The sequence below is a fragment of the Homo sapiens genome, chromosome 6, assembly GCF_000001405.40.
Source record: "Homo sapiens chromosome 6, GRCh38.p14 Primary Assembly".
Lineage (NCBI taxonomy): Eukaryota > Metazoa > Chordata > Mammalia > Primates > Hominidae > Homo > Homo sapiens.
Window position 1 is genome coordinate 12,154,834 of NC_000006.12, and position 14,150 is coordinate 12,168,983.

The following is a 14,150-nucleotide window of genomic DNA, read 5'->3' on the forward strand; positions in this document are numbered from 1 at the left end:
TTGTGTGTTTATCCCACCTTTCTTTTCTAATGTTGGTAATTTGTATCTTCTCTCTCTCTTTCTTGGCTAGTGTTACCAGAGAATTTTTCTAAGAACCCAGCTTTTGGTTTCCTTGCCTTTCTCTATTTTTCTTTTTTCAATGTCATCATTTCTGTTCTTATTTTGATTATTTTTTCCCTCTCCTTGCTTTGAGTTTAGTTTGATCTTCTTTTTCTGATTTCTTAAACTGAAAATTTAGATTTATCCGAGAACCTTCTTTTCTAATGAAAGTTTTGAATACGATAAATTTCCCACTGACCACTGCATTAGTTACATCCCACAAAATTCGAATGTTGTGTTTTAATTTTCATCCAGTTGAAAATATTTGACATGTTTTGAGACTTCCTCATTAACCCAATGAATATTTAGAGATGTGTTCTTTTTTTTCTTCAACTTCTAAGTTCAGGGGTACATGTGCAGGGTGTGCAGGTTTGTCGCACAGGTAAACGTGTGCCATGGTGGCTTGCTGCACAAACCATCTCATCATCTCAGTATTAAGCCCAGCATTTCTTCCTGATGTTCTTCCCCCACACCCCTATCACCCCCCAACAGACAGGCCCCAGTGAGTATTGTTCCCCCCAATGTGTCCTCGTGTTTTCGTCATTCAGCTCCCACTTATAAGTGAAAACATGCGGTATTTGGTTTTCTCTTCCTGCATTAGTTTGCTGAGGATTATGGCTTCCAAATCCATCTATGTCCCTGCAAAGGACATGATCTCATTCTTTTTGATGACTGCAGAGTATTCTATGGTGTACATGCACCACGTTTTCCTTATCCAGTCTATCATTGATGGGCATTCAGGTTGATTCCATGTCTTTGCTATTACGAATGAACATATGCATGCATGTTATCTTTATAGTAAAATGATTTCTGTTCCTTTGGGTATATACCCAGTAATGTGATTGCTGGGTCAGATGGTATTTCTGCAGAGGTCTAGGTCTTTGAGGAATCACCACACTGTCTTCCACAATGGTTGAGCTAATTTACACTCCCACTAGCAGTGTCAAAGCATTCCTTTTTCTCTGCAACCTCTCCAGCATCTGTTATTTTTTAACTTTTTAATAATAGCCGTTCTGACTGGCCTGAGATGGTATCTCATTGTGGTTTTGATTTGCATTTCTCTAATGATCAGTGGTGTTGAGCTTTTCTTCATGTTGTTGGCTGCATGTATGTGTTCTTTTGAGAAGTGCCTATTCATGTCCTTTGCCTGCTTTTTAATCGGGTTACTTTTTTTCTTATAAATTTGTTTAAGTTCCTTGTAGACTCTGGACATTAGACCTTTGTCAGATGGATAGATTGTGAAAATTTTCTCCCATTCTGTAGGTTGTGTGTTCACTCTGATGATAGTTCCTTTTGTTGTGCAGAAGCTCTGCAGTTTAATTAGACCCCATTTGTCAATTTTTCCTTTTGGTGTTTTCGTCATAAAATCTTTGCCCGTGACTGTATCCTGAATGATATTGCCTAGATTTTCTTCTAGGGTTTTCATAGTTTTTCATTTTACATTTAAGTCTTTAATCCATCTTGAGTTAATTTTTATATATATTGTAAAGAAGGGGTCCAGTTTCAGTTTTCTGCATATGGCTAGCCAGTTTTCCCAGCATCGTTTATTAAATAGGGACTCTTTCCCCCCATCACTTCTTTTTGTTTGTTGAAGATCAGATGGTTGCTGGTGTGCAGTCTTATTTCTGAGTTCTCTATTTTGTTCCGTTGATCTATGTGTCTGTTCTTGTACCAGTATCATGCATGTGTTCTTTAATTCTGCAATAATTTGATGGTTTTTCAGATATCCTCCAATTAATTGATTTCTGGTTTAATTCTGTTTTCATGTAAAAACACACTCTGTATGGTTTCTACTGATTTTAAATAGTTGAGGTTTATTTTGTAGCTCAGAATATGGTATGTACTGGTGAATGTTCCACATACCCTTATATAAAAAGTATGTTCTGCTGTTGAGTGGAACATTTCTATAAATGTCTATTAGGTCTTGATAGTGTTTTGCGGGTCTTTTATGTTCTTCCTGATTTTCTATTTATGTGTCCCATTAATTACCGAGAGTGGATTATTGAAGTCTTCAGCTCTGATTATGGATTTATTTTTTTCAGTTTCCGCTCCTTTATTTCGAAGCTCTATTGCGTACACACTTAGGATTGTTATGTTCATGGGATGACCTATATCATTATGTAATGCTCCTGTTTATCCTTCATAATATTCTTTGCTCTGAAGTCCACTTCGTCTGATATTAGTATAGTTTCTGCAGCTGTATTTTAGTTATTGATTTATGGTATATCTTTCCCCAAACTTTTATTTTCAGCCTACTTATGTCTTTATATCAATATTTAAAATGCGTTTCTTATATACAGTATATACATGGGACTTGCATTTTATTCAGTCCTAGTCATTTCTGTCTTTTAATTTATGTGTTAGACCACCCCTTTTAATGTTATTATTTGTGTAATTGGATTAAAATGTACCATATTGGCAACCGTTTTCTGTTTGTTTCATTTTTGGGTTTCAGTTTTCTTTTGATGCCTTCTCTAGTATTAACTGAGTGTTTTTTATGATTCTGTTCTATTTCCTCTACTGACTTATTATTTATACTTTTAAAAAATTGTATTTATCTACCTTCAGATAATATTACATTGCTTTACATGGAGCCTATAGACTTTACTGCAGTTTATACACAGCTCCTTCTTTCCGTGCTTTATGCTATTGTGGCCATACCTTTTTACATTTACATCTACTGTGAACGCACAGTACATTGTTTTACACATTCAGGTATCTTTTAGAGCAATTAAAAAATAAGAAAAAAAATTGTGTCCCCATTTATTCTATTTTCACTGCTCTTTGTTTGTTTGTGTAGATCCGGGCCTCCATCTGATGTTGTGTTCCTTCTGCCTGAGGAACTTCCGTTTAACATTTATTGTCCACTAGGTCAAGCAGCTGGCAATGAATCCCCTCAGTTTTTGTTTTTCTAAGAAAGTCTGTATTTCTCTTTCATCTTTGAAAATTATTTTCAATGGGCATAGAATTCTGGATTTAACAGTTTTCTTGATATTGTTACCATATTTTTTATTTGCACCATTTTCATTGGATTCTTTTTAATAGTTGTCAGCACTCAGCTGAAAGTCCCATCTGTTATTGTCTACCTTTCCCTTTAGAGCCTTCAAAATATGAACCATAGTTATTTTAAATTCTCAGTCATTTCTAACATAGGTGTCATATCTGACTGTGGTTCTGATTATTGCTTTGTCTCTCTGAAGTATGTTTTTTTCTTGCCTTCTTGTATGCCTTGTAATTTTGTGTTGAAAGCTGTACATCTTGTGTAAGACAGTAGAGACCCATGGAAATTGTTTGTATCCTAGAAATGTGCATGCCTCTCCTTCCTAGAGGCCTTTAGTGTGGGAGTTAGAGTTTATCTAGTTAGGAGTTTGCTAGGTTTGAGAGATTTGTTGGCAGCTATCCTCACTGCAGGAAAGGCTTCATGTTCCTGTAGAGATACCTTGTGTTTTGGCTGGGGGTTGGATCACAAGAACATCACCTGTTCAGTTCTAGTTTTAGGTCTTCCTTTTGCACTATGCCTCAGAAAGGGTCTCTCTGCACATTCTTGTTCTCCTGTTTCTCTCCAAGCACTGTTTTGTTACCTGTAATGCTAAGCTCCTTAGCTTGACATTGTGGGGCAAGGAGGAGGATGGGGTGCTGTCTCTGTTCCGATTGAGTTACAGTCTCGTACCTGCACCATTTTCTTAGGTTTCTGGGCTGTGACCTTCTCAGTTCTCCTCCCTCTCCCCCAAGTGTTGTGGGAGTTTCTGTGTAATCCTGTCCCTCCCCAAGGAGACAGGTTGTATGTGTATGTTTTTCCTGTTCCCTTTCCACACTGCAGTGAGTTTTCAGCAGTGTCCTAAGGACAACAGTGCGTGCCGCCCTTCTCCTCACAGGATAGGTCTTTTGTTTTCCTGGTGGAGACAGGGGAGATGGATCCAGGTGTAGTTCCTTGCCACTCCTCTAGAGTTACTGCTTCTCTCCCCCATATCTGGAACACAGCGGACACTTCTTACCCCACCCTCCTGTGAGCACCTGGGTGATGGTCATGGCATAGATCCTGTGTGAGAATGTAACCCTCAGAGGTTTCACACAATCTTGGCAGCCCACTCTTGACTCTAACCAGATACTTGAGCGGGACTCCCCTGACTGGGGTTCTGTTGTGTCTGCCCTCGGTGACACAAGCTTGTGTCTCCTTAGATTTTGGGCTGTTGATTATCTGGGACCTCGGCTTATTGATGGGTTTGGAAAAAGTTAATAAGTTTAAAGTTAGGCTGTACGTGTGTGTGTGTGTGTGCGCGCGCGCGTGCACGTGCACGCTTGTGTGTGTGTTTAACGTAAACAGGTCCCATCCTTGTTAGACTTTACAGCAAGAGCAGCCTTGAATGAAATCATCCTTTCTCTCCAGTAACTTATTCTCCCAGTCATTCAGTTCTCTTTAGTCTTTTTACAAATTTTACTTCTTTAAAGAAGATGCGTCTCCAAAAAAAAAAAATACCTAATTTGCTACTGATGTGGCAAATTCAAGTCAAATTGAGGATGACTCGAATTTTACAATGCCAAACAATCCTGATGGCCAACTGTCTTATTCTTCCCCAGGGCCTTCTCCTCAGCCAGGGCGGAGGCTCGTTGTGGGCAGGGTCCTTGTCTTTTATAATCCTCGCAGAGTTGCCAAACCTATAAAAAATTTTTAAAATAGGCAAGGTAGAGAAGTAGCTGAGGTGCAGGAGTCTGGGTATTTACCCAGAAATCACACATTCTGTCTCCAGCATAGGCCCCTAGAGCCAGTCAATACTTTGGTATTATTTTATTTCATTACTTATTTTACAGCATAATAGTAGAACCCTAAAAGCAAAAGCCTTATGAAATCACATGCTAACAGAACCTAAATGCATGTTTCATCTTAGAGTTTTTTAATTATAAAAGTAGCACACGTTTGTGATAAATAATGTAAAATGTCAAGTTCTTTTCATCCCCTAGAAATAATCACCCTCCAATCTTTTCTATGGGTCTTCTAAGGCTTTTCTCTAAACTCATTTTTGTCATATACAAAGAAAAAGTAAAAAATTAATATCTAGGCCATTTGGGAAAGGCAGCCTATTGCTTGTTGCTCTGTTTACATGTTTGTCTCTTTTCAAAAAAATACCTGTAAGTGCAGAATGTATCACAGCTAAACTGTACATTGTCTAATGTCATCTTTATTATATCTCAGTGACATTCCTCCCCCATAACTAAATTTTATTAAGCTTTCAGTGGGAAAGAGCCTCTAATTTGCAAGATTTTGAAAATGTGAAGAGTTTAAAAGTTCCACATGAGCTTATGAGATTTTTGAAACTATTTCCTGGATCATCTTGAAGATTCCTTGTTAAACTCAGTTTCACATGATGTTAAGAGGCTGATACTAACGACTTTTAGATAATATCCCCCTTTCTATGAGGAATGGGTTGAATCATATCACAGAAGAAATTGACAGGAAATTGTAGCATCTCTCTGAGTAAATAAGAAGGCTTACACATTAGGTGAATATGACGACACGGAGGACCATTGAAACATGCCTGTGTCAACCAAAAGAAGAAGCTAAAGCACAAAGTGTGGTTGAAAGAGTTGACTTGAGCCAGAATAAGGACAGCTGCCCAGATGACTCACCCAAACTGCTTGCTTGGCCTTTGTTACAGGCAGATTTTTAAAGGCAAAAAGAAAAAAACAAAAACAAAAAAACAGGAGGCAGGGGAGGGGGGCCGGTGTTACCGAGTAGACTGTTAGACAGTTCTGTCAGGAATTCTCATGGATATACAGAAGTAACAGTGATTAGTGACTGCCTGTCCACGGTTAAGCTATAGAATGTGGGATATAGTGTCCAGTGCCACATTACTAGGTTAATTCACAGCTACCTGTGGCAATGGGAAGCAGCTTCAGTAAAGTGTGGAGTAGGATGTGATTGCTGTCTCATCTTAATGCCTCTTTGGGGCCTAGTAATTTGAAAGGGCCCACATTCCTCAGATAAAAGTCCTTTTCTTTCCTCATCTATAATACTATTCAAATCTAAAGAAAATGTATGTTGCTCACAGATACCAACAGCCATCAGTTTTTTGTGTTTGATTTAATTTGTTCAGTAAAAGGAAGATACAAAATAGGGAAAAAGCTCAGGAAAAGAGTTGCGTTGAACTCTTTATTAATTTTATATGTAGTTCAGTTGTGTTTTAAAGATTTTCAAGTGCAATCTTAGAGGCCTTCATTTCCTTGTTTCTTGATTACCCTCCACCTGCCTCATTCCCCTTCTGAGAGTCATTTCCCATTCCTCGTCCCTGACCCCGGCCCCTCCCGCAGAGCTGCCCTCCTCTGAATCCTGATGGCCAACTGTCTTATTCTTCCCCAGGGCCTTCTCAGCCAGGGCGGAGGCTCGTTGTGGGCAGGGTCCTTGTCTTTTATAATCCTTGCAGAGTTGCCAAACGTATAAAAAATTTTTAAAATAGCACTTGTGCACTTGGAAAGCATTCCATCACATACCTCTTGGTTGTTTTTATTAGATGAAAAACAGAGATTCAGTTATGAGCGATCTGGATATGATCTTGAAGAATCTGATGGCCCAGATGAGGATGACAATGAAAATGAAGACGATGATGAGGACAGCCAGGCTGAATCAGTCCTGTCAGCCACACCCTCAGTCACAGCTAGCCCGCAGCACCTTCCATCTAGAAGTAGCCTTCAGGACCCTGTGAGTACTGACGAGGATGTCAGGATCACCGATTGCTTTTCTGGGGTACACACGGACCCAATGGACGTTCTGCCCAGGGCGCTGCTCACCAGAATGACTGTCCTGAGCACAGCACAGTCTGACTACAATAGGAAGACACTCTCTCCGGGGAAGGCCAGGCAGCGTGCTGCGAGAGATGAAAACGACACAATTCCGTCTGTAGACACTTCCAGGTCCCCGTGTCATCAGATGTCTGTGGACTACCCTGAGTCAGAAGAAATTCTGAGAAGTTCTATGGCAGGAAAAGCTGTTGCTATAACACAGGTAAATGATTGGCAGTTGTTCTTTTATTTCTTTTTTCGTTTTAACCTATTAAATATGGAGAACTTAATGGCTTAAGAAAATAATGCACTTAAGTGATTTTTTTAGGCCAAATCAGTTTGTATAGCTTTATTTTTTTCTTGTATTTAAGGGTAGAGGGTATTTTTGCCCTTTGGAGTCTTGTTGAGTATCTTAAGCAGTTCAGATATTTTATTGTAAATCTATGAAAGAACCAAATGGTTCTTGAAAAATACACCCATTTATTTTTATTTGCTTTTTGAAAAATTTTTGAAATTAAAAAAAAAAAAAAACGTGACAGTGGCGAACACAAGTCCCGCAACTGATTTATCTGCTGGCCCCTTCTGAGCAGTTTCTCCACTGGTGCTGATGTGATGATGGATTTTCACTGACTTACCCAAACATTTTGCACTTTGCCCCCATTGGCAAGACAGCTACCAGTTTCTATGGCAAAGTTAATGTGACCCGAAAACACATCAAGAAGTTCACTTTGCTTGAATTATCACATTGCTACAGCAGCTTGGGAGAGCTTTCTGCCCAAGAACTATCTCAAGGCAGGCACAGGCCTCTGAAAAGTCACGCTCCATGTGCTGTGAGTGAGTCCCTGCTCTACCTCTGGCTGTTTTGTGACAAATGATTAATTCTGGGAGGAATACATTCTTCCCTCATTGACAGTTCTCTTACCTCTAGTATGTATTGAATATTGCAATAGGATTTATGCCTAATTGTGGCAGATTGTGCTGTAAGCGTCTCTATCCCAAAACCTCTCAGACACTTACCAGTGCCTGGAAATCTGGTTTTCAGTAGACATTTCATAAACTTGCAAGTGATAGACAAACAACCAGAGAACTTTTTCATAGTAACATCTCTTCACAAATAATTCTTTAGTTCATTTTTCCCCATTGAGTTGACATAGCCAACTTGAATCTCAATTTCTCAGTAACTCTTAATCTCTAAAATAAGGTGGAGCTGGTAGTGCCAGAAACAGAAATAATAACAAAAATAGCAGCTTAAGAATATAGCTGTGTCCACTTCTCAGAGTTATTCTCTGTGTACAATATGACAAAATCCAGGAAATTTGCTTCAGACATGCAAAAGACTATACAAGATGTATTGCCATTATTTCTACCAGAAACGAAATTAAAGATGTAATAATTGTTTAATTGGAAGCTTATTTTTAAAAATCGAAAAATAATTTCATTGCAGCAAACATCATTTTTATCAATGCAAATATACTTACTTTTATCTCATTGTGAAGAAATAGATTTAGCACTAGCTTTATATCTCAGTGATTACAAAAGACCTGTCATAAAAGGATTGCTCTCTCTTGTCATTTAGAGCCCATCATCTGTAAGACTTCCTCCTGCTGCAGCTGAGCACAGCCCCCAGACAGCAGCGGGGATGCCTTCTGTGGCCTCACCACATCCTGACCCTCAAGAACAGAAGCAGCAAATAACTCTACAGCCGACTCCAGGCTTGCCTTCTCCCCACACTCATTTGTTTAGCCACCTTCCTTTGCATTCCCAGCAGCAATCGAGGACACCTTATAATATGGTTCCAGTTGGGGGGATCCATGTGGTACCTGCTGGCCTCACATACTCCACGTTTGTGCCCCTTCAGGCTGGACCAGTGCAGCTCACGATCCCTGCTGTCAGTGTCGTTCACAGAACTTTGGGTACTCATAGGAATACGGTCACAGAAGTGTCTGGCACTACAAACCCTGCTGGAGTGGCTGAATTAAGCAGTGTTGTGCCATGTATTCCTATCGGCCAAATCCGCGTGCCAGGCCTTCAGAACCTAAGTACCCCAGGCTTGCAGTCACTCCCCTCGTTAAGCATGGAAACCGTCAATATTGTAGGCCTAGCCAATACAAATATGGCCCCACAAGTCCATCCACCAGGACTGGCTCTGAATGCTGTCGGACTGCAGGTTCTGACTGCAAACCCTTCATCACAAAGCAGCCCCGCCCCTCAGGCACACATTCCAGGTCTCCAGATCTTGAACATAGCATTGCCCACCTTAATCCCCTCAGTCAGTCAAGTAGCCGTTGATGCACAGGGAGCTCCAGAAATGCCAGCTTCCCAAAGCAAAGCATGCGAGACACAACCCAAGCAGACTTCTGTAGCCAGCGCAAACCAGGTCAGCAGGACCGAGTCTCCTCAGGGGTTACCTACAGTCCAGCGGGAAAATGCAAAAAAAGTTCTGAATCCACCTGCCCCTGCAGGTGACCATGCAAGGCTTGATGGCCTGAGTAAAATGGACACAGAGAAGGCTGCCTCGGCAAATCACGTGAAGCCCAAGCCTGAACTCACTTCCATACAGGGCCAACCAGCGTCCACGTCACAACCTCTGCTGAAGGCACATTCTGAAGTTTTTACAAAGCCCTCAGGCCAGCAGACTCTCTCTCCAGACAGACAGGTTCCCAGGCCCACAGCACTACCGCGGAGGCAGCCCACTGTGCACTTCAGCGACGTGAGCAGCGATGATGACGAGGACAGGCTTGTGATAGCAACCTGATGGATTTTATTTTTTATTTGCTTTTTTTTTATATAACACTTAAAGGTTTCTTTGAAAACCCTCCTTTCCTTAAAGCACATTTTTCTGACATAAACTCATGACTAATCTTTGTGCAATCATGAACTTTTGACCAATAATTGTTGTTTTGTGTCAGCTCCAGCCATTTTTGTACATGTTGTATAGACAATTGTGCCTTTTAGGAGCTTTATGTTTAGAAACTGTACAGATTGTTGAATATCTATATACATAAAAATATATTATATATGTATATGAAAACCAGGTAGTTATTTGTGTTTAGTAAGGAAAACCTGTCAAATAAATCAAATGATTAAATTATATGTTCCACTGTTGAATATAAATTTTATGGCTATGGGGCAGAGTTTCTGTGTATAAATTAGTATGTAAACTCCATATTTATTGTATTCATATTAGTCTTTGAAAATGGGTCTGTCCTCCTTGTGTAAGACAGTAACTTTACACTTCAGACAGATTTTCTGTGTTATGAAATGTTTCAGTAAAATATTGTTTACTGACTTTACCATTGCTTCAGTTGTGCCTTCTTTATATCATCCAGTGATCAGTGATCTGCATTTGGAAAATAGCCCTGGGTTCCATTCTTTCCACATTCCCCTCAACCCTTCATTTTTTTTATAAACAGAGACTTTACTCGCCTTTCTACCATGTGAAACTGTAACTGAAATCCATACAACTGATTGACCTATTTTTCTTATTTGTGAGAAGTCATTTCATAGTTATTATTAGAAGACTAAATATATAAGAATACTTTCTGTATATACATAAAGCATATAGCCTAAAATGGGCAACGTTCCTAAATGAGGGTATGGAAATTTCTGGGAAACATGAGTTAAACCCCATTGTCCTTAGAATTTGGCTCAGATGAGACCCGTATAACCTCATTTCCAGGCTCCAACACCAGATCCATTCGTGGGCTATGGGCTCTTCTTTCCCTTGATGCTGTTAAACTCACAGAGCTCTGTCCAGCACTGAACTACAGAGTGTCCAAGATTACCGAAGAGCCAAATTCAGACTTCTAAATTACTTAAGTGACTCTCTTTAGACATTACTATTTCCTGTCCTGGAAGGTTGAACCATCCTTATTCAGGAAAATATGGCGGCATGGGGAGCCCCCAATTACCAGTGCAGTGATTTGCATTATTAATGATTATAGATGCTAGGTTTATGAGAAAAGTATTTTAATGTTGGAATTTAAATACTTAGCACATCATTAAGTCAATGTATTCACATTTTTAAAGGCTTGCTTAACAAAGATTGCAGAGACATGAAATAAGTAAGACAACAGCATGGTTTGCGAGGTGAGAGGTAGGGGACAGCCTATCTACTAAGGGGTTTGGAGACCTGCTGCTAGCCAACCCAGCTTCACGTCTGTGACTTTGCAAAGACCTGGCATTTCAACTTGCGTATCCTTATCTCAATTAGGATCTCCAAGGTGTGCTGCAGTCCCAGCACGCACTGGTGGATCTGTGATGCTTTAAATGAATGCTTCAATTTACATTTACATATTTCCATAGATTAAGTAACAAAATTCTCTCAAAAACAATAAAACTACATTTTTATATTCTGAGATAGCTTTGGAAAGAATTCTGGAAATATCTGCTCTAGGGATTGCGTTGCCCTATCAATAATAGCTGTTGAAAATGAGGTCTGTTTTCTGTCCAGTTTCTCAAAATTAATGTTTTAACTGTGTCATGAACTTTTTATTGCCTAAAATTTTAAAGCAGTATAATAAGCATATTCTTAACTCCATAATTAAGTACAGATGACTTCTCTAAATTCAAAAATAATGCTTGGAGTTTTTAGCATTGAGGTTTTTTAGTTTCTATAGAATTTTCTTAATTTAAAAAATTCCTATACTTAAAGACAAGTGTTACGATGTGAGTGGATGTTCCCTTGAAATTTTCATAATGCTGTAATGTACCTTACTCTTATTTTGTACTTTTCAAGATTCTTATTTTGGGCTTTTCAAAATTCAATGCATCGTGCAAATACCTTTACTATTGGCAACTTTCAAGCTTTATTGTAGCCTTTCAAGTATTTTGCTAGTATTTGAAATATGCAGCTCTATAAAAAATATTACCAAAGTCTAAGCCATTATATTTTGAAATTACATGCACAAAATAGACAAGGGAACAATAATTTTGTGCTATTTCTCCGAAGTCGTCTTTTCCCAAGGAGCAGTGTCCACTTGATACTCCCAAATATAAACGACTTCCAAATAATGTAATTCGGAGAACTAATGGGACTACATTTGACTTTTATTCTGTTGCACTGTCGTGTGTGGAGACCCAGGCCTGTAGAGAACTAGGGTGCAATGACATAGTAAGATAATTTATTGACAAAACAGGTGAAAGTTTTAATGTGTAACAATTTCAATACCTTGTGTGAATCCACTGCAATGCCATCATCAGAAGTACTGGAAAAAACAGCTGAAGAACCACAGGTCGTTTTTCTAGTTAAAGATTATTATATCTGGCTTATGAAAATGTATTATAACATAAATCGAGGGCGTTCCAATAACTTATTTTCATTCCCTAAACTTTAAGCCAAAATGATAATTATTTCTTTCGAAATGATAATTAACCGATGGTATTGAATGTACAAATTTTGTTTCTCAGTTATATTTTTCATAATATAGACCTGATTTTCCTTTCACAGAAACAGTATAAGTAACACGTTTCTTACTAATTAATCCCTGGCCTGAATTTTAAATGATAGCAGTTAATAAGGATTATGGAAAATAATCATTATTTTTGTTGGAAGACTGTCAAGATAGTTAATAGATCTTGATTCATGCTCAGTTCAAATTATAACATCAGGGTTCTTTTTGACTTTTCTGTTTTTCATCTTACATTTTGCAGTCAACTTCAAATAATACCAGAAAGATGATTTTCATTAATTTTGTTTCAAAACCATCTATAAATTCTAAATACAGCATGTATATCACCTTAAGAATCTTCTCTCAAAGTGACTTCCCATGACTTAAAATTCTAAATTTCCTACTTAATATTCAAAATATGTATTTTGTAATATATATTTGTATATATATAATATATGTATATATTACATGCATGTTATATATACGTTATATTACATGTATATATACATGTTATATTACATGTATATATACATGTTATATATACATATACATATATATGTTATATATACATATATACATATATGTGTATAATATATATACATATATACATATATGCATAATATATATACATATATACATGTGTATATGTGCGTGTATAATATATACATGTACATGTGTAGATGTGCGTATATAATATATACACATGTACATGTATAGATGTGCGTATATAATATGTACACATGTACATGTATAGATGTGCGTATATAATATATACACATGTACATGTATAGATGTGCGTATATAATATATACACATGTACATGTATATCTGCGTATATTATATATACATGTACATGTATATATGTATATATTATATATACATGTACATGTATATATGTATATATTATATATACATGTACATGTATATATGTATATATTATATATACATATACATATGTGTATATATACATATATATGTGTATATATACATATATACACATACACGTATATATGTATATTATATATACATATATACGTGTATATCTATATTATATATACAGATATACGTGTATATCTATATTATATATAGATATACGTGTATATATACATATATACATATATACATATATTATATACATATATATTATATATACAGATATACGTGTATATATACATATATACATATATTATATACATATATACATATATACATATATTATATACATATATATTATATAATTATATATACATGTATATGTATATATTATATACATATACATGTATATATGTATATATATAATATTTTATATAATATATTTTAGTGGCAATAACTCCCTGCTCTCATTACCAAGTGGGGAAAAAAAGGAGAAAAGGTTTAAAGCAAGAATAGCAAAATGTTTTTCTATACAAATTATATACAGACTGTTCACAACTTACTATGGTTCAATTTAATGATTTTTTCAACTTTACACTGATGTGAAAATGATAAGCATTCAGTAGAAACCATACTCTGAATTTTGATATCTTTCTGTGCTAGCAATATAGGGTTTGATCTCTTATGATGCTGGGCAGCAGCAGGAGCCAAAGCTCCCAGCCAGCTACGTGATTGTAACCACAAACACACTACAGTGCACTGTATTCAATACATTATACGAGATATTCTAGACTTTATTTATTTTTAAATAAATAATTGTTAGATGATGTTGTCCAACTGTAGGCTAATGTAAGTGAGCACGTTTAAAGTAGGGTAGGCTAAGCTATGTTGTTCAGTAGGTTAGATATATTAAATGCTTTTTTGTCGTTGTTGTTGTTGAAACAGTCTTGCTCTGTTGCCCAGGCTGTAGTGCAGTGGCGCAATCTCAGCTCAGTGCAACCTCTGCCTCCCAGG

General features: G+C 37.3%; 1 protein-coding gene across 16 annotated transcripts in view, besides 3 other annotated features; it reads left to right on the top strand.

The window, feature by feature from the left end:
- HIVEP1 (HIVEP zinc finger 1) overlaps window positions 1-14,150 on the top strand; it is a 204,356-nt gene that overhangs the window by 147,141 nt on the left and 43,065 nt on the right. For 13 of the 16 annotated variants that reach the window (XM_047418701.1, XM_047418699.1, XM_011514548.3 and 10 more), the window contains 2 exons: window positions 6,606-7,096; window positions 8,450-10,166. The exons of the other annotated variants lie outside the window; for them this stretch is intronic. In XM_047418701.1, the coding sequence (XP_047274657.1) occupies window positions 6,606-7,096; window positions 8,450-9,628 (1,670 nt within the window). In that variant the 3' untranslated portion in view covers window positions 9,629-10,166. Of the gene's footprint in view, window positions 1-6,605; window positions 7,097-8,449; window positions 10,167-14,150 lie in introns of those variants that run through there. 16 annotated transcript variants of the gene reach the window in all.
- Window positions 8,464-8,523: an enhancer, noted in NCBI's record as "active region_24012". NCBI's record gives its function as "activates an Ori minimal core promoter by ATAC-STARR-seq in GM12878 lymphoblastoid cells {active_cell/tissue: GM12878}" and the evidence as "EXISTENCE:reporter gene assay evidence [ECO:0000049][PMID:35858748]".
- Window positions 8,584-8,633: an enhancer, noted in NCBI's record as "active region_24013". NCBI's record gives its function as "activates an Ori minimal core promoter by ATAC-STARR-seq in GM12878 lymphoblastoid cells {active_cell/tissue: GM12878}" and the evidence as "EXISTENCE:reporter gene assay evidence [ECO:0000049][PMID:35858748]".
- Window positions 9,353-9,853: an enhancer, noted in NCBI's record as "H3K4me1 hESC enhancer chr6:12164419-12164919 (GRCh37/hg19 assembly coordinates)". NCBI's record gives its function as "activates a minimal SCP1, AML or CMV promoter by ChIP-STARR-seq in naive H9 embryonic stem cells {active_cell/tissue: H9 hESC(naive)}" and the evidence as "EXISTENCE:reporter gene assay evidence [ECO:0000049][PMID:30033119]".